Here is a 20,983-nt window from a genome sequence, read left to right on the forward strand (position 1 = left end):
CAGAAAATAGCTCCTGCTGGGGCTACAAGATGGAGTGTGAAGAGGGCCTTGGGCCACAGGGAGGCGCCTGTGGACTAGGGGGAGTTCATGCACCCCTTCTTTCCCCAGAGGGGCTGGACTCAGGTGAGTATGGGGGTGGGGGCTCCTGCACTTCGACACAGGCAGCGGGAGGGTTTTCTCCCCATTCCCTCTGCACTCCCAACTTGAGCTATACTTTTTAAGAAAGTGATTCACCCTGCCTTTGCCCCCTTCCCCAGAACAGAACACGTTGATCATGGGCGATATTTTTCATTGTGCCAAAAAGTTGCCATGACTGTCATTAAACCTGTTTAACACCAAATAATAAGGAAAATAAAATAAAAAATTCGGGCATGGTGCAGAAACTCACTCCAAATAAATTACCGACCAAAATATATAATGGTGGAAATATTCCAAAATTCCATATTTTGGGATTTATACACAAAAGATAAACAAATTAGAAGCCAAGAGGCTGCCGGAAGGGAAAAACGGGGCCTGGAAAGGCCGTTGTGAGGAATGAGCTGGGCCTAAAGAGGCCACTGGCAGGCAGTAGCTGGACCTGCCGAAGTGGCCGAAAGGCAGGAGCTTTGGACTGGGGAGGCCGCAGTGAGGCGAGAGCTAGCTGGGCGTGGAGAGTCCGCTGTGAGGCAGAGGCTGGGCCTGTGCAGGCCTTCGGGAGGCAGGAGGCTGGGCCTTGTCGAGGCCTGCAGAGGCCACCAAAAGTCAAAAGCGGGGCTTGGGAAGGCCGCCGGGAGGCATGAGCTGGGCTGGGCCGAAAGAGGCCACTGGGAGGCAGGAGGAGCTGGGCCTGGAGAGGCTGCTGAAAGGCAGGAGCTTCGCCTGAGGATGCCACAGTGAGACACCATCTGGGTCTGGAGGGTCCACTGTGAGGCAGAGGCTGGGCGTGAAGAATCTGCTGTGAGGCAGATGTTGGGATTGTAGAGGCCGACGGGAGGCACAGGCTGGGCCTGGAGGGGCCACCAAGATGCAGGAGTTGGGCCTGGAGAGGCTGCAAAGAAGCATGAGCTGGGCCTGGTGAGGTCGACTTGAGAAAGTTCAGGGCCTGGAGAGAAGGCTGGGAGGCAGGAGCTGGGTCTAAAGAGGCCATTGTAACGATGGAGCTGTGCCTGTGGAGGCTGTTGTGAGGCAGTAGGCTCATCTGCGGAGACTGCCGTGAGGTAGGGTATGGGCCTAAATAGGCCATTGTGAGTCATGAGCTTGGTCTGTAGAGGCTGACTGGAGAAAGTTCTGGGCCTGGAGAGGCTGCCGGGAGGTAGGAGCTGGGCCAAAAGATTTAAGCACATTCACATTTATTAGGCACTTCATTTCCATTATTACACTGTAATATATAATAAAATAATTATAGAATTCACCATAATGTAGAATCAGTGGGCGTGTTAAGCTTGTTTTCCTGCAACTGGATGGTCCCACCTGAGCGTGATGGGAGGAAGTGACAGATCAATAGGTATTAGACTCTCATTAAGGACAGCGCAACCTAGATCCCTCACATGCACGGTTCACAACAGGGTGCGTTCTATGAGAATCTAATGCTGCTGCTGATCTGAGAAGGTGGAGCTCAGGCGGGAATGTGAGCAAAGGGGAGTGGCTGTAAATACAGACGAAGCTTTCCTCACTCCCTCACTCGACACCACTCACCTCCTGCTGTGTGGCTCCTTGCGGCTCCATGGCTCAGGGGTTGGGGACCCCTGCTCAAGTGCATCAGAAACGACCCTTCTTCCCACACCAGTCTTCACAGTGGTCAAGTGCAGCAACCACTTAGCTCCCAAGGCATGTGCCTCAGCTGGCATTTCGTCACAATCAACAGTAAGTGGTAGCTTGAGTCACTGTGAGGTCACCTACTGGAAATCACCAGCATCCCATTTCCCACTGGCAAAGAGCTCAGCACTGCCCAAATCCCATCTGTGTGGGTTTATCTCCTGGGACCCTTCCTAACATATTAGTCAGAGTCCAATCAGGAAGCATAAACCACTCAAAAGTTTAAAGTGGTAAAATTTAATACAGAGAATTATTCATTATAACAGGTGAACAGCATAATGAGAGATTGACTAGCACAAAGTAAAGAGAACTCTAGAGAATATAGGACTAGCCCAGGCCAGGCACGGTGGCTCATGCCTGAAATTCCAGCAATTTGAGAAGCTAATGCAGGAGGATTGCTTAAGGCCAGGAGCTAGAGACCGGTCTGGACAACACAGTGAGACCCTGTCTCTATCCAAAAGAAGAAAAAAGTTAGCTGGGGGTGGTGGTGCACACTTGTAGTCCCAGCTATTCGGAATGCGGAAGTTTGAGCCTGGGAGGTCAAGGCTGCAGTGAGGCATGATTATGCCACTACAGTCCAGCCTGGTGACAGAGCAAGACCCTGTCTCAAAGAACAAAACAACAATAACCATTTACAGACAGAAAAGAAATAGAGCTAATAAGCTGAGGAAAGATGTTGAAATGTGACAAGTAAAGTAATATGAGTTCTTTTGTCTATGTAAAATAATCAAACAAAAAATGACTTACTAAATTATAATACCCTGTGCTGGCAAAGGTGCAGTGAAATGGGCACTTTTTTATACTATGAGGGGTGTTTAAATTGTGTATAAGCCTTCCAGGGTAAAGCCTGTCAATTTTTTAAAATAATAGAGACAGGGTCTCACCATACTGCCATACTGCCTCCTCCAACTCTTGGCCTCAAGCAATCCTCCTCTCTTAGCCTCCCAAAGTGCTAAGATTATAGCTAGGAGGCACCCAAAACCCTGTCAATTTACATCAAGGGTAATGAGAATGTCCATTCACCATGACTCACAGTAATCTTACTTCTGGGGAGACAATTCAATCTAAACAAAAGGTCATCTGTACACACACAGTAAAAATCTGGGAGTAACTGAAGACAGAGTTGGTAAGTGAAATAAGAAACAGTTATAAGAAATTAAACTATGGTATCAATAGGCACCTGGTAAAAGGTCAGTTGATGTTAGCTGCTACTTTTTTGTTGTTTTGAGACAGGGTCTCACTCTGTCACCCAGGCTGGAGTGCAGAGGCCTGATCATGACTCACTGCAGTCTCAGCCTCCCTGGGCTCAAGTGATCCTCCCACCTCAGCCTCCCAAGTAGCTGGGACTACAGGAACATGCCACCACACTAGGCTAATTCATGTATTTTTCTGTAGGGATGGTGACTCCCTTTGTTTCCAAGGCCTATCGCAAACTCTTGACCTCAAGCCATCCTCCTGCCTCAGCCTCCCAAAGTGTTGCGATTACCAGTGTGAGCCACCACACCTGGCCAGCTGCTACTTTTATCAATATTATTATTATTCCACTCAATTAAAAATTATTATTTTCAAGGCTATGCAACAGTATGTATCCTACAGCGTAATTGTAAAAACATATACAGTCGTTCCTCAGTATACAGAATTAGTTCCAGCCCCCCATCTCTGCATATACCAAAATCCATGCTTACTCACATTTCGCTGTCACCCCTCTGGAATCCACGTATACGAAAATTCCAAATATTAGTTGGGCATAGTGGCAAGCACCTGTAGTCTCAGCCACGTGGGAGGTTGAGATGGGAGGATCGCTTCAGCCTAGAAGGTTGAGGCTGCAGTCAGCTGTGATAGCACTACTACACTCCAGCCTTGGACAACAGAGGGAGACCCTGTCTCAGAAAAAAAAACAAAATAAAACAGGTTAGAAATTGTAATGAGGTCTGCTGGGCAAAATTCCATATAAGCAAAGTATAAATTAATAAAGCAAATCGTGATAAATTAGTACGATTGACTTTCTGGAGTTTCTGACAATAAAAGTAAGGAAAATGCAGAACACAAAGACAGAGAGTAAAAAGAGAAATTAGGAAAGCATTCTACATGTTTAATAGGAAGACACTGGCCATGTTCGTGCAGCGGCAGTATGTTGTGACATGACATACCTTGGAGAGAAGTTAACAGATGAGGAAGTTGATAAAAATCATCAGAGAAGCAAAATACTGGTAGCGACACTCAAGTAAACCATGAAATTTCCATAACTTATGTCAGCAAAGTGGGAATATTGTACAGTGTGTGTTGAAGTTCCTATACAACATTGTTTATCTGCCTTTTGTTTGTTTGTAAGGAATGTATATACTAAAAGTTCTTCTTGCTGTCAAAAGAATATGTGTGAATAAGTCATTTTAACTTATTCTTCTGTTTTTCTTTTATCTTCCTGCCATCATCCCACAGCCTTACTTTAGAAATTTTTCCTTTAGAAAATTGAACAAGTGCTCCTTGTGGTGGCACATACCTCTAGGATGGGAGGCAGGGGTGGAAGGGTCACTTGAGGCCATTCGTTTGACACCAGCCTGGCCAACAAAGTGAGACCCCATGTCTACAAAACAATTTAAAAATTAGCCAAGTATCGTCATGTATACCTACAGTCCTAGCTACTCAGGAGGCTCAGGTAGGAGGATCCTTAGCCCAGGAGTTCAAGGCTGCAGTGAGCTGTGATAGCACTACTGTACTCAAGCCTGGGTGACAGGGTGATACCCCATCTCCTAAAATAAAAAGCAAAGAAAAAAAATAGTTCAAGTAGCAAGTTGTATGTGGCTTACTCTGAATATTTCTAAACTAGAAATTCTCAATCTTTTGGGGTCTAACATCCCTTTACATTTTTTAACTTTATTGAAGATCTCTAAGACTATTTCTTTCTGCAGATAATTATATTAAAACTAGAAAATAAGACACAATTTTTAAAATATTATTCATTACATATTAAAGCCATTACATGTTGATATAATACAAGATTTTAAAAATATTTAATATTCATTACATATTAATAATAAAACCATTACACGTTGATATAACACTTTTTTTTTTCTTTGAGACAAAGTCTTGTTCTTTTGCCCAGGCTGGAGTGAAGTGGCGCAATCTCAGCTCATTGCAACCTCCACCCCGCAGGTTCAAGCGATTCTCCTACCTCAGCCTCCCAAGTAGCTGGGATTACAGGCGCCCACTACCATGTCCAGCCAATTATTGTATTTTCTTAGTAGAGAAGGAGTTTCGCCACGTTGGCAAGGCTGGTCTTGAACTCTTGACCTCAGGTGATCCACCCGCCTGGGTCTCCCTAATTGCTGGGATTACAGGTGTGAGCCACTGCACCCACCCTGATTAATATATGTTTTAAAACACTGATTAATCAGGCAACAACACCGGGCAGGGGTCTCCTCATTCCCAGGGACGCAAACCCCACTGCATGGCTGAGGGGTTGCAAGGGCTGCAGAGCCAAAAGGCTCTGACTTGAGATATTATTTTACTTGTATTTTTATTTGTATTGTGAGACAGGTCCTGCTCTGTCACCCAGACTGGAGTGCAGCTGTGCACTTACAGCTCACTGCAGCCTCGACCTCCTGGGCTCAAGCCATCTTCCTGCCTCAGCTCCCCAGTAGCTGGTAGTACAGTTGAGTGTCACCGTGCCTGGTTATTTTTTTAATTTTTTTGTAGAGTGAGGGGTCTTGCTATGTTGCCCAAGCTGGCCTCAAACTCCTGACCTCAAGAGATCTGCCCACTTCAGCCTCCTGAGTAGCTGAAACTACAAGTACACATCACCATGCCTAGCTACATTTATTTAATTTTGAAAAATATTTTTGTAAAGAGCAGATCTTGCTGTGTTGTCTAGGCTGGTCTTGAACACCTGCCCTTAAAAGATACTTGCACCTCTGCTTACCAGACAGCTGGGACTACAGGCATGAGCCACTGCAATGAGCCTGAAGAGATTTCCTTAATCTAGCATCCCATACTTGGTAGGATTGGGAAAGGCAGTAGTGTTTTTTAAAATTACTTAATAATTTCAGTAACAATCAAACTCAACCTTGACCCCTGCCTTCTCTCACACCCCATATCCAGTCTGTCAGGAAATCCTGTTGACTGTCTTCGACATGTACTAAAGATCCCCACCCAGCAACTCCCTGGCCTCCTCCCCTACTTCTCCCCTCTGACCATCTCTCAACACCACCACGACCCTGGTCAGGACCACCATCATCTCCCGCCTGGATGTTGCCAAAGCTTGGCCCCCATGCTTCTATCACATCTTCCCACAGTCTTTCTCAACTCAGCAGCCAGAGAATGCTTTTAAATCGGGAGACAGATCATGTCGCCTCTCTGCTCAGAACCCTCCCGCAGTTTCCATCTGAGTCAGAGTAAAAGCCAAAGCCCCACCAATAACCTCCCAGGGCTTATGTGATCTGTACTGATCCCCACCCAGCAACTCCCTGGCTCCCTCCCCTAATTCTCTCCCTCTCTCCATCTGCTCCATGGGCCTCCTTCCAGAGCCTCAGACACACCTCAGACACTTTATTCTATTGTTTCTGCCTACAATCCTCTTCCCTCAGCACCTTGGCCACCTCCTTCCCCTCCTTCAAGTCTTTACTCAACTTTCACTTAGGAGGCCACCCCTGACCATTCTACTTAACATTGCCATCTGTCCCCATGCCCACCATGCTCATTTCTTCTTTCTTTACTTTCTTCTTTCTTTTTTTCAAGATCTCACCGTCACCAAGGCTGGAGTGCAGTGGCGAAATCACAGCTCACTGCAACCTCAAATTTCCAGGCTCAAGCGATCCTCCCACCTCAGCCTCCCGAGTAGTTGGGACTCCAGGTTCATGCCACCATGGCTGGCTAAATTTTTTAGTATTTTATTTTATTTTATTTTGAGACAGAGTTTCACTCTTCTTGCCCAGGCTGTAGTGTAACGGTGTGATCCCGGCTCACTGCAACCTCCACCTCCCAGATTCAAGTGATTCTCCTGCCTCAGCCTTCCAAGTAGCTGGGATTACAGGTGCATGCCACCATGCCCAGCTAATTTTTGTATTTTTAGTAGAGCCGGGGTTTCACAATGTTGGCCAGGCTGGTCTCGAACTCCTGACCTCAGGTAATCTGCCCGCTTCGGCCTCCCAAAGTGCTGGAATTACAGGTGTGAGCCACCACGCCTGGCCAATTTTTTCATTTTTTGTAGAGACAAGGTCTTACTATGTTGCCCAGACTGGTCTTGAACTCCTGGCCTCAAGTGATCCTCCTGCCTAAATTCCTAAAGTGCTGGGATTACCGGCATGAGCCATGATGCCTGGCTTCATGTTCATTTCTTCTTGCTGCTGCAACATAGTTTGCAGTTTCCTACATTTAGTGGCTTAAAACACCACAAATCTACCATCTTACAGTTCTAGGGGCCAGAAACCCAAACTAGGTCTATTAAGGCTAAAGTCAAGGTGTCAGCAGGGCTGCATTCCTTCTGGAGACTCTAATATGTTCCCTTGGCTTTTCCAGCTTCTAGAAGCCACCCCCATTCCTTGGATCATAGCCCCTGACTCCATCTTCAAAGCCAGAGGTGAAGCATCTTCAAATCTCCCTCTCTTACCTCTGCTTTCATCACCACATCTCCTGCTCCAATTCTGAATCTCCTACTCTCTTTCTTTTATAAAGACCCTTGTGATTGCTGGGCATGGTGGCTCCCACCCAGAATCCCAACACTTTGGGAGGTCAAGGCAGGAGGAACACTTGAGGCCCGAAGTTTGAAACTAGCATGAAAAACACAGTGAGACCCCCACCTCTAGAAAAAAATAAAAATAAATATTAGCCCGACATGGTGGTATGCGCCTGTAGTCCCAGCTACTTGAGAGGCTGAGGTGAGACAATCGATTTAGCCCAGGAGTTTGAGATCAGCCTGGACGACATAACTAAATCTCATCTCTACAAGGACGAAGTGGGAGGATCACTTGAGCCCAGGAATTTGTGGCCAGCCTGGGCAACAAAAGAAGACCCCATCTGGCCGACATGGCCAACCTGGCCACCATGGTGAAACTCTGACTCTACAAAAATGAGCTGGGCATGGGTGACATGCATGTGTAGTCCTAGCTACTTGGGAGGTTGAGATGGGAGGATTGCTTGATCTCAGAAGGCCAAAGCTATAGTGAGCTATGATCACATCACTGCACTCCAGCCTGGATGACACAGGGAGATTCTGTCTGAAAAAAAAGAAAAGAAATATATATTTAATCTCTGTCCCTGGTTCCTGGCACAGAGCTTCTAAAGCTCTTACAAAGACCTCAGTGATAGATGTGACAGGAACATCTTTTGTTTTAATATTTGGTCTTGGTCCCAGGTTTCTAACACAAGAGCCTCTAAGAACTTTGGGATCTCCAGCATGGTAAGAATGCATTTGGGGATGTTGTTGAGATGACTGCGTGACTGCAAGCTCCTAAATTTCTTCCAGAGGAGGGCTGATTACCATGCAACCACATGGTAAGAGGCTTGGAACTTTCAGCCTCATGCACTGAACTCCAGGAGGAGGAGGGGCTGGAGACTGACTTAATCACCAACAGCCAAAGATTTTATCAATCATGCTTGCATAATAAAGCCTCCATAAACACCCTGAAAGGGGTTTGCAGAGCTTTCAGGGTTGCTGGACACAGGAGATGCTGGGAGGGCCGCATGTTCAACAGAGGGCATGGGAGCTCTGTGCCCCTCCGAACTTAACTTGCCCTGGGTATCTTTCTTTTTTTTGAGACAGGATCAGGCTCTTTTGTCCAAGCTGGAGTGCAGTGGCACAACCTCAGCTTACTGTAACCTAAGCCTCCCCAGTCCCCAGCTTAAGGTATCCTCTCATCTCAGCTTCCCTAGTAGTTGGAACTCTAGGTGCACAACACCACACCAGTTATTATTATTATTTTTTAATTTTTTATAGAGACAGGTTTTCACCATGTTGCCCAGGCTGGTCTCAAACTCCTGAGTTTAAGCGATCCTCCCAAAGTGCTGAGATTACAGGCATGAGCCACTGCATCCAGCATGCACATCTCTTTCATTGACTGTTTCTGAGATGTATCCTTCACAATGAACCAGTAATAGGAAATGAACTGGCCAGATGTGGTGGTTCACATCTGTAATCCCAGCACTTTCAGAGGCTGAGGTGGGAGGATCACTTGAGACCAGGAATTTGTGGCCACCCTGGCCAATACAACAAGACCCCATCTATACAAAAAATAAAAGAAACTAGCCAGATGTGGTGGTGCAGGCATGTAGTCTCAGCTACTAGGGAGGCTGAGGTGGGAGAACCACTGGAACCCAGACAATCAAGGCTGCAATGAGCTATGACTGCACCATTGCACACCAGCCTGGGCAACAAAATAAGACCCTCTCTCTCAGAAAAAAAAGAAAATAAACTGTTTTTCTGAGTTCCGTAAACTGTTCTAGCAAATTATTAAACCCAAGAAGACAGTTATGGGAACCCCCGATTGGTAACAGGTTGGTCAAAAGTATGGTGACAACTTAGGACTTGCCATTGGCATCTGAAGTGAGGATGGCCTCGTGGGACTGAGCCCCTAACTTGTGGGGTCTGTGCTAACTCCAGGTAGTGTCAGAATAAAGTCATGGGATACCCAGTTAATATCCAGAGCACTGAAGAATTTGGTGTAGAAACTCCATACATACATTCAGTCGGAAGTGTGTGAGTAGAGACAAACATGGGTTTTTCTGTCACCTACCTGCTTAACTGCGTAGGAGAGGCAATATGTGGTGCTCATGAACAAAGCAAACATTAAAGTCAGACCAGACCCAACATTTGACTCAGTCTTAATAGCCAGGTGAGCCTGCGCAAATCATTCATTATTCCTAAGGTTTTCATCACTCCATTCATAAAATGGGGATAACTGTGGCACCTACATGTGATTCTGTGAGAATTAACGAAATATTATGCTTGGGGTTATTGTGATCATTATACCTGTTCCAAACTATTTGACAAGGACAGTGATGGATGAAGACATCAAAAAATCAGAAACTGCAATGAGGTCTCTCAGGCAAAATTCCATACAAGCCAATTACTGTGTCTACAAAGCATTCCTGCCACACTTAATTCACCATTCCCTGAACAAAATATGCCATCTTCGTTGTTCAGTTCTGTACAGTGCTGGTTTCCCTTCCCGGGCAGTTTATGCTATCCCATCCCGACCCATTCCCCATCCCTCCACCTCCCCCTTCCCTCCCCACTCTCATACAACTCTTCCTCATCTTTCAGGACTTGGCTTCAATGTCACCTTAACTGGAAGCTTCTCTCACTCTCCAGTGGAGCTTCCCATTGCACTTGATGCATGCACTATTATTTGATCATTTTTAAGTTACAGTCCAAATCTTTTTGTACCTGAATAACATGTTGCCCAGTCAGTCTCTCTTCCTGGATTCAGAAGTCTTTCATGGTAGATCCAGCTGGAAGTGACAAAAAGACATCTTTTGACATAAAGGGATGACACAGACAGACATAAGTTCTTAAATGTCTCAAATGTTATGTGAAAATTAAACAGAATTCAAAGACTTGTGGGGAGCACTTAGGAAGTTACTGGGAATGTCATAAAGGGTTAATTTGTATTTTATTTTATTTTTTGAGACAGTCTCATTCTGTCACCTAGGCTGGAGTGCAGTGGTGCAATCAGGCTCACTGCAGCCTTGACCACCTGGGCTCAAGTAATCTCACTTAATTTTTATTTGGTTTAAGAAAGTCTTGGTTGAGGGTGGTGGCTTATGCCTGTAATCTCAGCACTTTGGGAGGCTGAGAGAGGTATATTACTTGAGGCCAGGAGTTTGAGATCAGCCTGGGCAATATATTAAGACCCTGCCTCTACCAAAAAACAGAGTGAATGTGTGGAAGACAATTTTTCCACAGACTGGGAGTGAGGGAATAATTTTAGGATGATTCAAGTGCATTACATATATTGTACACTTTATTTCTATTATTACTACATAGTAATATATAATGAAATGATTCTACAACTCACTATAACGTAGACTCAGTGGGATCTCTGAGCTTGTTTTCCTGCAACTAGACTGTCCATCTGGGGTGATGGGAGACAGTAACAGAATATCAGGCATTAGATTCTCATAAGGAGTACACAACCTAGATCCCTCGCATGCACACTTCACAACAGAGTTTGTGCTCCTATGAGAATCTAATGCTGCTGCTGATCTGACAGGACATGGAGCTCAGGTGGTCATGCAAGCCATGGGAGGGGCTAGAAATACAGATGAAGTTTCCCTTCACTCGCCTGCTGCTCACCTCCAGCTCTGTGGCCCTGTGGTTGGAGACTGCTGCTCAAGTGCATTTGAAAGGATCCATCCCACGCCATTCTTCAGAGTCATCTTTACTGCTGCAGTGGTCAACTTGTAGCACCCCCAAGCTCGCAGGACATATGCTTCAACTGGCATTTCACAATCAACACTATGTGGCAGCTTGAGTCATTGTGAGCTCACTTCCTGGAAATCACCAGCATCCCATATCCCATTAGCAAGGAGCTCAGCACTGCTCCTTGGATAACCAAACCTATTCCCAAATCCCATCTGTGTGCGTCTATCTCCTGGTACCCTTCCTAGCATCAATTCTGTATTTGTAGGAGTCCAATCAGGAGACACAAACTACTCAAAAGTTTAAACTAGAATGAGCAAGATGGCTCACACCTGTAATCCCAGCACTCTGGGAGGCCAAGGTGGGTGGACTGCTTTGAGCTCAGGAGTTTGAGAACAGTCTGGGAAACATGGCGAAACCTCGTCTCTACAAAAAACACAAAAATCAGCTGGGTGTGGTGGCACTTACCTGTAATCCCAGCTACTCGGGAGGCTGAGGCAGGAGCATTGCTTGAGCCTGGCAGGTGGAGGCTGCAGTGAGCAGAGGTTGTGCCACTGTACTCCAGCCTGGGTGACAGTGTGAGACCCGGTATCAAAAAGAAAAAACATATATATATATATATATATGTAAATTTAATATAAAAAGTATTAATTTTGGCCAGGCAAAATGGCTCATGCCTGTAATCCCAGCACTTTGGGAGGCCAAGGCAGACAGATCACCTGAGGTCAGGAGTTCGAGACCAGCCTGACCAGCATAGAGAAACCCCATCTCTACTAAATATACAAAATCAGCTGGGCATGGTGGCACATGCCTGTAATCCCAACTACTCGGGAGGCTGAGGCAGGAGAATCGCTTGAACCCGGCAGGTGGAGGTTGCGCTGAGCCGAGATAGTGCCATTGCACTCCAGCCTGGGCAACAAGAGTGAAACTCCATCTCAAAAAAAAAAAAAAAAAAAAAGGTATTAATTTTTACAGAGGATCAGCACAATGAGGGACACACTAGCACAAAGTAAAGACAACTCTAGAGAATACGGAACTAGCAGAGGCCAGGCATTGTGGCTCATGCCTGTAATCCCAGCAATTTGGGAAGCCTAGGCAGGAGGATCGCTTGAGGCCAGGAGTTGGAGACCAATCAGTGCTAAATAGTGAGACTCTGTGTCTACCAAAAAAAAGAGACATTAGCCAGGTGTGGTGGTGGTGCACACCCATAGTTCCAGCTACTTGGGAGTCTGGGGTGGGAGAAATCCCTTGAGCCTGGGAAGTCTACACTACAGTGAGCCAAGATTGTGCCACTGCACTCCAGCCTGGGCGACAGAGTGAGACCCTGTCTTAGAAAGAAAAAAGAAAAGAAAGTGTTAATCCCCCTATGGGAATCTCCTCTTCTCCTGCCCTCTCTGGAACCTCACTTGTCAGTTCTTCCTCCTGCTTTCCTGTATCTTTAACCTATCCCCCACTTTTAGCTCCTTCCCATCATCATTTAAATTACTCAAACTTCTTCTGTTTTAAAAACCTCTCCCTAAACTCAGGGAGAGGTCTCCTGCACACCCATTGAGCCATCTGCTCTCCCTGGTGCCTTCTCTACAGCAGCCTGAGCCATGTCTCTAATCCATGAATCTCATCATGTTACTCCTCCATTTACATCACTTCTCCTTGCCTCAGGGATTAAGTCCAAACTCCTTAACAGCCCCTGCTCTGCCCTGCCTTGCAAGGCAGCCTCACTGCTTGCCCCTCTCCATTTCATCTGCTATGGAGTCCAACTGAGCCTCATCTGCCTCTTGAACGCACACTCTTTCTCCTCTGGGAGTCTCTGAAGTGGGTAATATCCTCTGCTTATAATATGCTTCCCCTTAAACCTCTACTCCCTTCCTAGCTAGCTTTGACTCCTCTGTCACTTGTCCGCTTTGGCATCACCTCCTCATAGAAGACTTCTCTGACTCCCGAGATTCTCAGGAGCATGGCAGGTGAAGTGCTCCTCCCATGAATGGATGGAGATTAGGGAGTGTGTGTTATTCATGCTTAATTCACCAGTGCTTAGCTGAGTACCTGGCATAAAATAGTTACTGTGGTGGCCAAAGTAATAACCCCCACCGCCACCAATTGCTCATGTCCTATGTTACACAGCACAATTACATAGGAAGGGGGAATTAATAGTGCAGATAAAATTAATGTTGCTCATCAGCTGACCTTAAAACAAGATTATCCTGGAGTATCTAGGAGAGCCCATGTAATTACAAGCATTCTTTAAAACTGGAAGAGGGAGGCAGAAGGTTAAGAACCAGAGACGGTGGGCACAATGGCTCATGCCTGTAATACCAATACTTTGGGAGGCCAGGGTAGGAAAATCCCTTGAGTGCAGGAGTTCAAGGTCAGCCGTGGCAACATACTGAGGTCCCATCTCTACAACAAAACAAAAACAAAATTCACTGAGTGTCACGATGCTTACCTGTAGTCCCAGCTACTGGGAAGGCTGACATGGTAGGATTGCTTGAGCCTGGGAGTTTGAGGCTATAATGAGCCATGATAGGACCACTGAACTCCATCCTGAGTGACAGGGCAAGGTCCTGTTTCTGAAGAAAAAAAGGACATTGGAATCAGGGTCCTCTCCATCCTGAGGTGCCTACAAGGCATCTCTCTCTGCAAATGAGTAAACATCACCCTCCAACTCCTTACAGAGTGGAGCAACAGGAAAACTCCTTCACCTCATTTCTGTGCTGCTTGGGAAGCCTGGACAGCCCAATAACCAGCTCCTTGCTGATGAAGCAATCAGGAAATGGCTCGAGTTGAGCTAAGGAGAATTTAGATCCTTCTTTTGGTTCTCAGTAGGCAGGGTAGGGGCCAGGCATGGTGGCTCATACCTGTAATCCTTGCACTGTGGGGGGCCAAGGTGAGAGGATTGCTTGAGGCCAGGAGGTCAAGACCAGCCTGGACAACATAGCAAGACCTGGGTGGCATACACCTGTGGTCCCTACTACTTAGTAGGATGAGGTGGGAGGATTGATCACTTGATCCCAGGAGTTTCAGGCTGCAGTGAGCCATGATCATACCACTGCACTTCAGCCTGGGTGACAGAGCCAGACTATGTCACAAAAAGTTAGAAAGAAAAAAAAAAAGAGAAAGGGAGAGAGACTATACACAGGCACCACCACATTTGGCTAATTTTTAAATATTCTGTAGAGACAAGGTCTTGCTAGGTTGCCCGGGCTAGTCTAAAACTCCTGGCATCAGGCTGGGCATGGTGGCTCATGCTTGTAATCCCAGCACTTTGGGAAGCTAAGGCAGGCAAATCACCTGAAGTCTGGAGTTCGAGACCAGCCTGGCCAACATGGTGAAACTCTGACTCTATCAAAAATACAAAAATTAGCTGGGTAGTAGTGGCGTGTACCTGTAGTCTCACCTACTCGGGAGGCTGAGGCAGGAGAATCACTTGAACCTGGGAGGTGGAGGTTGCAGTGGACCCCATCACTGCACTCCACCCTGGGTGACAGAGCGAGACTCTGTCAAAAACAACAACAACAATAACAAAAACAAAAACAACAACAACAAAAAAAACTCCTGGCATCAAGACATCTTCCTGTCTTAGCCTCCCAATGCCCTGGGATTATACTGTTTCCTATAATTGAAGACACTTGTTCTTATACTGCTTTAAGGTATAAAGGAAGAAAAAAAAACAGATAATGGCAAATGTTGGTGAAGGCCGGGCATGGTGGCAGCCTGTAATTCCAGAATTTATGGAGGCTGAGGTGCGCAGATCACTTGAGGCCAGGAGTATGAGACCAGCCTGGGCAACATGGTAAAATCCCATCACTACAGAAAAATATAAAAATTACCCAGGCATGGTGGCGTACACCTGTAATTTTCAGCTACTCAGGAGGCTGAGATGAGAGAATCACTTGTGCCTGGGAGGTCAAGGCTGCAGTGAACTGTGATGGCATCATTGCACTGCGGCCTGAGAGACAGAGCAAGCCCCTATCTAGAAAAAAAAAAAATGTCAGTGAAGATGTGGAGGAATTGGAACCCACATACATTACTGGTGGGAACATAAAATTGTGTAACCATTTTGTTTGGGTATTTCTTTTCTTGTCATTTTAATTGGATTTTTAAAAAATCAAGACAGGGTTTCACTATCTTGCCCAGGCTGGTCTTGAATTCATGGGCTCAAGCCATCCTCCTAGCTGAGCCTCCTGAGTAGCTGGGATTACAGGTGTGAGCCATTGCACCCAACTGGTATAGCCACGTTAGAAAACAGTCTGGCAGTTTCTCAAAAGGCTAAATGTACAGTCATCCTATAATGCAACCATTTCATTCCTAGGCATATATCCCAGAAAAATAAAAATATATGTCCACACAAAAACTTGTACAACAATCTTCATAGCAGCATTATTCATAATGACCAATACATGGAATACATGGAAACAACCCAAATATCCACCAACTGATGAACAGATAAACAAAATGCAGTGTGTCTCCACCATGGAATACTGCCATAGAAGGAATGAAATATTGATACACACTATGACATAAAGGAACTTTGAAAACACTGTGCTAAGAGGGAAAAAAAGCCACAAAAGATCACATATTGTACAATTCTATTTGTCCAGATTAGGCAAATCTATAGTGACAAAAAAATTAATCAATGGTTGCCTAAGGCTGGGGGCGAAGGTAGGTGGGGAGAGTAGGAGGTAGTGGCTAAGGGGTATGGATTTCTCTATAGGGTAATGAAAGGTTCTAAAAGTGACTGTGGTGATCGATGCACAGCTCTGTGAATATTCTAAAACCTACTGAATTGCAGATTTCAATAAATAAAGTGAATGGTATGTGAATATTTTAATAAAGCTATTATTTAAAATAATAATAATAGGGGGCTGGGCACAGGTGGTCATGCCTGCCTGTAATCCCAGCACTTTGGGAGGCTGAGGCAGGAGGATCACTTGAGGTCAGGAGTTTTGAGCCCAGTCAGAGCAACGTGGCAAGATCCCGTTTCTATGATAAAAAATTAGCTGGACATGGTGGCACATGTCTGTAGTCCCAGCTACTTGGGAGACTGAAGTGAGAGAACCGCTTGAGCCCAGGAGTTTGAGGCTACAGTGAACCATGATCATGTCACTGTACTGTAGCCTGACCAACAGAGCAAGACGCTGTCTCTGAAAAGGAAAGAAAACAAATGCAAGTTTTTATCACTTTGTGAGTGTAGCCAAGTTGGAGGAGAAATAGACAATAATAAAAGAGCACTGAATAATGACGGTGAGTGGCTGGTTAGGCTCAGTTGCTAGCTAAATGGCTTCTAAAAAATTCAATAAAGTTACAGCTCTGGGGACAGTCATGTAGTCAAAGAATGAACGCTAAATTCATTACAATTGCCCATGGTCTTTATTTACACGCCTTCTAGTGAAAAATTCCTAAGTGCCTAAACAGCAAGTCTGCAATGATAGCAGCTGTTTATTAAAGACTACAAAAAAGAAATGGAGGCCGGGCGTGGCTGCTCACATCTGTACTCCTTGAATTTTGGGAGGCTGAGGCAGGCAGATTGCCTGAGGTCAGGAGCTCCAGAGGAGCCTGGCCAACATGGTGAAATCCCATCTCTACTAAAAATACAAAAATTAGCTGGGTATGGTGGCGGGCACCTGTAATCCCAGCTACTCGGGAGGCTGAGGCAGGAGAATTGCTTGAACCCAGAAGGTGAAGGTTGCAGTGAGCCAAAATCGCACCATTGCACTCCAGCCTGGGTGACAAGAGAAAGACTCTTATCTTAAAAAAAAAAAAAGAAAAAAAGAAATGGCATCTTCTTCAAGAATTACATCGTGTTTCATGATAAAGAAGCTCTAATTTTGCATTTGTTCAAGTATTGATGAGATTTACCCAATATGACACCCATCTTGGATAAAATGCAAACAACACAATTTCATTTTCTCATTAACAAAACCGATTAAGTAGTCTAATATAAATTCTGATCTTATTAAAAACTGATCAGATTAAAAAAATTATGGAATTATGGAGCCAATAAGATGTTACAACCTGTTCCAAGGGGAATTCCAAAATCCACACATATCTGAGACCATCAAGTATGATGAAATATATTTGATTACTATATTGAAAAATAAACTGATTACATAGCCAACAATTGGACAGGGGTTTCCTCATCCACAGCCACACAAACCCGATCATGCAGCTATATGGTTACAAGGCCTACATAGCCTAGAAGGGACTGGTCTGACTTGAGATTTCATTTGTATTTGTATTTTGAGACAGGGTCCCACTCTGTCACCCAGGATGGAGTGCAGTGGTATAATCATAGCTCACTGCAACCTTGACCAACTGGGCTCAAGAGATGCTCCTGCCTCAGCTGCCCCCATACCTGGGAATACAGGCAAGTACCACCATGTCAGGCATTTTTTTCATTTTTGTAGAGAGAGAAGACTTGCTATGTTGCCCAAGCTGGCCTCAAACTCCTAGAATCAAGAGATCTGCCCATCTCAGCCACATGAGTAACTGGGGCCATAGGTACATACCATCATGCCTGGCTATATTTATTTTATTTTATTAAATTTATTTTTTTTATTTTTGTAGAGAGGAGGTCTTGCTGTGTTGCCCAGGCTGCTCTCAAACTCATGGCCTTAAAACATACTCCCATCTCTGCCTCTCAAACTGTTGGAACTATAGGTGTGAGCCACTGTACCTGGCCTGACTTGAGATTTCTTTTATCTAGCATCCTTTACTTGGTAGGATTGGGAAAGGCAGTAGTGTTTTTTAAAATTACTTAATAATTCAATCAGAATCAAACTCAACCTTGACCACTGCCTTCTCTCACAGCTCACATCCAGTCTGTCAGGAAATCCTACTGACTGACTTCAACATGTATCCAGGCTCTAACCATCTCTCACCACCACCTTGAACCCGATCAGGATCACTATCATCTCCCACCGGGATGTTGCCACAGCTTGGCCCCCATGCTTCTACCCAAATCTTCCCATAGTCTTTCTCAACTTGGCAGCCAGGTCGTGCTTTTAAATCAGGAGACAGATCATGTCGCCTCTCTGCTCAGAAGCCCTCGGTGGTTCCCATTTTAGTCAGAGTAAAAGCCAAAGCCCCAGCAATAGCGTCCCAGGGCTTACACGATCTGTACCGATCCCAGCCCAGCAACTCCCTGGCCTCCTCGCTGACTTCGCTCCCTCTATCTCTTTGCTCCACTGGCCTCCTTCCAGAGCCTCAGACACACCAGAGAGTTTCCTCCTAATGCCTTTATCCTGTTGACTCAGCCTACAATGCTCTTCCCTCAGCACCTTGGCCAGCTCCATCACCTGCTTCAAACTTTTGCTCAATATTCACTTATGAGGCCAACCCTGACCACTCTACTTAATACTGCCATCTGTCCCCATTCCCACCATGCTCATTTCTTTCTTTCTTTTTGAAACAAGGTCTTGCTTTATTGCCCAGGCTGGAGTACACTGGTGCAATCACAGCTCACAGCAACTTCAACCTCCCAGGCTTAAACAATCCTCCCGCCTCAGCCACCCTAGGAACTGAGACTACAGCTGCATGCCACAACACATGGCTTTTTTTTTTTTTTTTTTTTGAGACGGAGTCTCGGTCGCCCAGGCTGAAGTGTAAGGGTGCAATCTTGGCTCACTGCAATGTCTGCCTTTTGGGTTCAAGTGATTCTCTGCCTCCCGAGTAGCTGGGATTACAGGCACCCACCACCACACCTGGCTAATGTTTGTATTTTTAGTAGAAATGGGGTTTCACCATCTTGGCTAGGCTGGTCTTGAACTTCTGACCTCGTGATCCACCCTCCTCGGCCTCCCAAAGTGCTGGGATTACAGGCATGAGCCACTGCGTCTGGCCTTTTAAAAAATTTTTTTTTAGACATGAGGTCTCATTATGTTGCCCAGGCTGGTCTTAAGCTCCTGGGCTTAAGCGATCCTCCCACCTCAGCCTCCTAAAGTTCTGGGATTACAGGCGTGAGCAACTGTAACATGAGGTCCCAGCTTCATGTTCATTTTTTGTTGTTGCTACAACAAAGTACCCTACATTTAGTAGCATCAAACACCACAAATCTACCATCTTACAGTTCTGGGGGCCAGAAACCCAACTAGGTCTATTAAGGCTAAAGTCAAGGTGTCAGAGGGGCTGCATTCCTTCTGGGGGAGGCTCTAGACAGAATGTGCTCCTTTGCCTTTTCCAGCTTCTAGAAGCCACCCCCATTCCTTGACTTACCTCGTGACTCCATATTCAAGGCCAGAAGTGCAGCATCTTCAAATCTCCCTCTCTGACCTCTTCTTCCATTACCACATCACTTTCTCTAATTCTGACTCTCCTACCTCTTTCTCTTATAAAGATCCTTGTGATTGGTGGGTATGGGGGCTCCCATCTGTAATCTCAACATTTTGGGAGGCCAAAGAGGAAGGATTGCTTGAGGCCAAGAGTTAGAGATCAGCCTGGGGAAAATAGGAAGACCCTGCCTTTACAAAATTAAAATTAAAATCAGCTGGACATGGTGATGCATGCCTGTAGTTCCAGCTACTGGAGAGGCTAAGGTGGGAGGATTGCTTTAGCCTAGGACGTCAAGGCTGCAGTGAGCTATGATCACATCACTGCACTCCAGCCTCAGTGGCAGAGTGAGACTCTGTCTCCAATATAAGAAAAGAAATATACATTTGGTCTCTGCCCCTGGTTCCAGGCATAGAGCTTCCAAAGCTCTTATAAAGCCCTTCGTGACAGAGGTAATAGGAGCATTTTCTGTTTTGATATTTAGTCTTAGTCCCAGGTTCCTGACACAAGGGCCTCTAAGGTCTTTCAGATCTGCAGCATGGTAAGAATGCATGTGGGATGCTGTTGAGCTAACAGGGTGGCTGCAAGCTCCTAGACTGCTTCAGGAGGAGGGCTAGCTGCCAGAGAAAGCAACCACATTTTTTTTTTAAAACGGAGTTTGGCTCTTGTAGCCCAGGCTGGAGTGCAATGGCACAATCTCAGCTCACTACAACCTCCACTTCCCGGGTTCAAGCAATTCTCCTGCCTCGGCCTCCCGAGTAGCTGGAATTATAGGGATGTGCCACAATGCCTAGCTAACTGTTGTTATTTTTAGTAGAAACGAGGTTTCACCATGTTGGTCAGGCTTGTCTCAAACTCTTGACCTCAAGTGGTCCATGTGCCTCAGCCTTCCAAACTGCTAGGATTACAGGAGTGAGCCACCGCACCTGGCCCCAACCACATTTTTTGAGGCTTGGAACTTTCAGCCTCACCTGCTGAACTCCAGGAGGCAAAAGGAACTGGAGATTGACTTAACTACCAATGGCCAATGATTTTATCAATCATGCCTCCATAAAAACCCAAACTGCAGGGTTTGGAGAGCTTCTGTGTTGCTAAACACAAGGAGGTCCTGGGAGGGTAGTGTGCCCAACAGAGGGCATGGAAGCTCTGTGCCCCTCCCCACTTACCTTGTCCTGTGCATCTCTTTCATTGGCTGTTCCTGAGATGGAGCCATTACATTGAGCCAGTAATTGAAAATAAGGTGGCCAGATGCGCTGGCTCATGCCCGTAATCCCAGCACTGTGGGAGGCAGAGGTGGGTGGAATCACTTGAGCCTAGCAATTTGAGACCAACCTGGGCAACATAAGAAGACCCCATCTATACAAAAAATAAAAGAAATGAGCCAAATGTGGTGGTGGGAACCCTGTAATTCCAGCTACTTGAGAGGCTGAAGCAGGAGAATCACTTGAGCCCTGGAGGTTGAGGCTTCAATGAGCTATGATTGCACCACTGCACACCAGCTTGGACAACAGAGCGAGGCCCTGTCTCTTAAATAGAAAAGAAAAAAAACCTGTTTTTCTAAGTTCTGTG

General features: G+C 45.8%; 1 pseudogene across 1 annotated transcript in view; it reads right to left on the reverse strand.

Annotated features, from left to right (window-relative positions):
* Nucleotides 1-272: 272 nt before the first annotated feature.
* Nucleotides 273-20,983, reverse strand: part of GTF2IP20 (general transcription factor IIi pseudogene 20) — a 41,379-nt pseudogene continuing 20,668 nt past the window's right edge. The window contains exons 7-11 of the transcript NR_132119.1: nucleotides 10,175-10,239; nucleotides 3,484-3,674; nucleotides 1,675-1,877; nucleotides 1,392-1,449; nucleotides 273-1,298 (exon numbers count right to left, since the gene is read on the reverse strand). The product of NR_132119.1 is annotated as a general transcription factor IIi pseudogene 20 (transcript). The remainder of the gene's footprint in view (nucleotides 1,299-1,391; nucleotides 1,450-1,674; nucleotides 1,878-3,483; nucleotides 3,675-10,174; nucleotides 10,240-20,983) is intronic.

The sequence above is a fragment of the Homo sapiens genome, chromosome 1 (assembly GCF_000001405.40).
Source record: "Homo sapiens chromosome 1, GRCh38.p14 Primary Assembly".
Classification (NCBI taxonomy): Eukaryota; Metazoa; Chordata; class Mammalia; order Primates; family Hominidae; genus Homo; species Homo sapiens.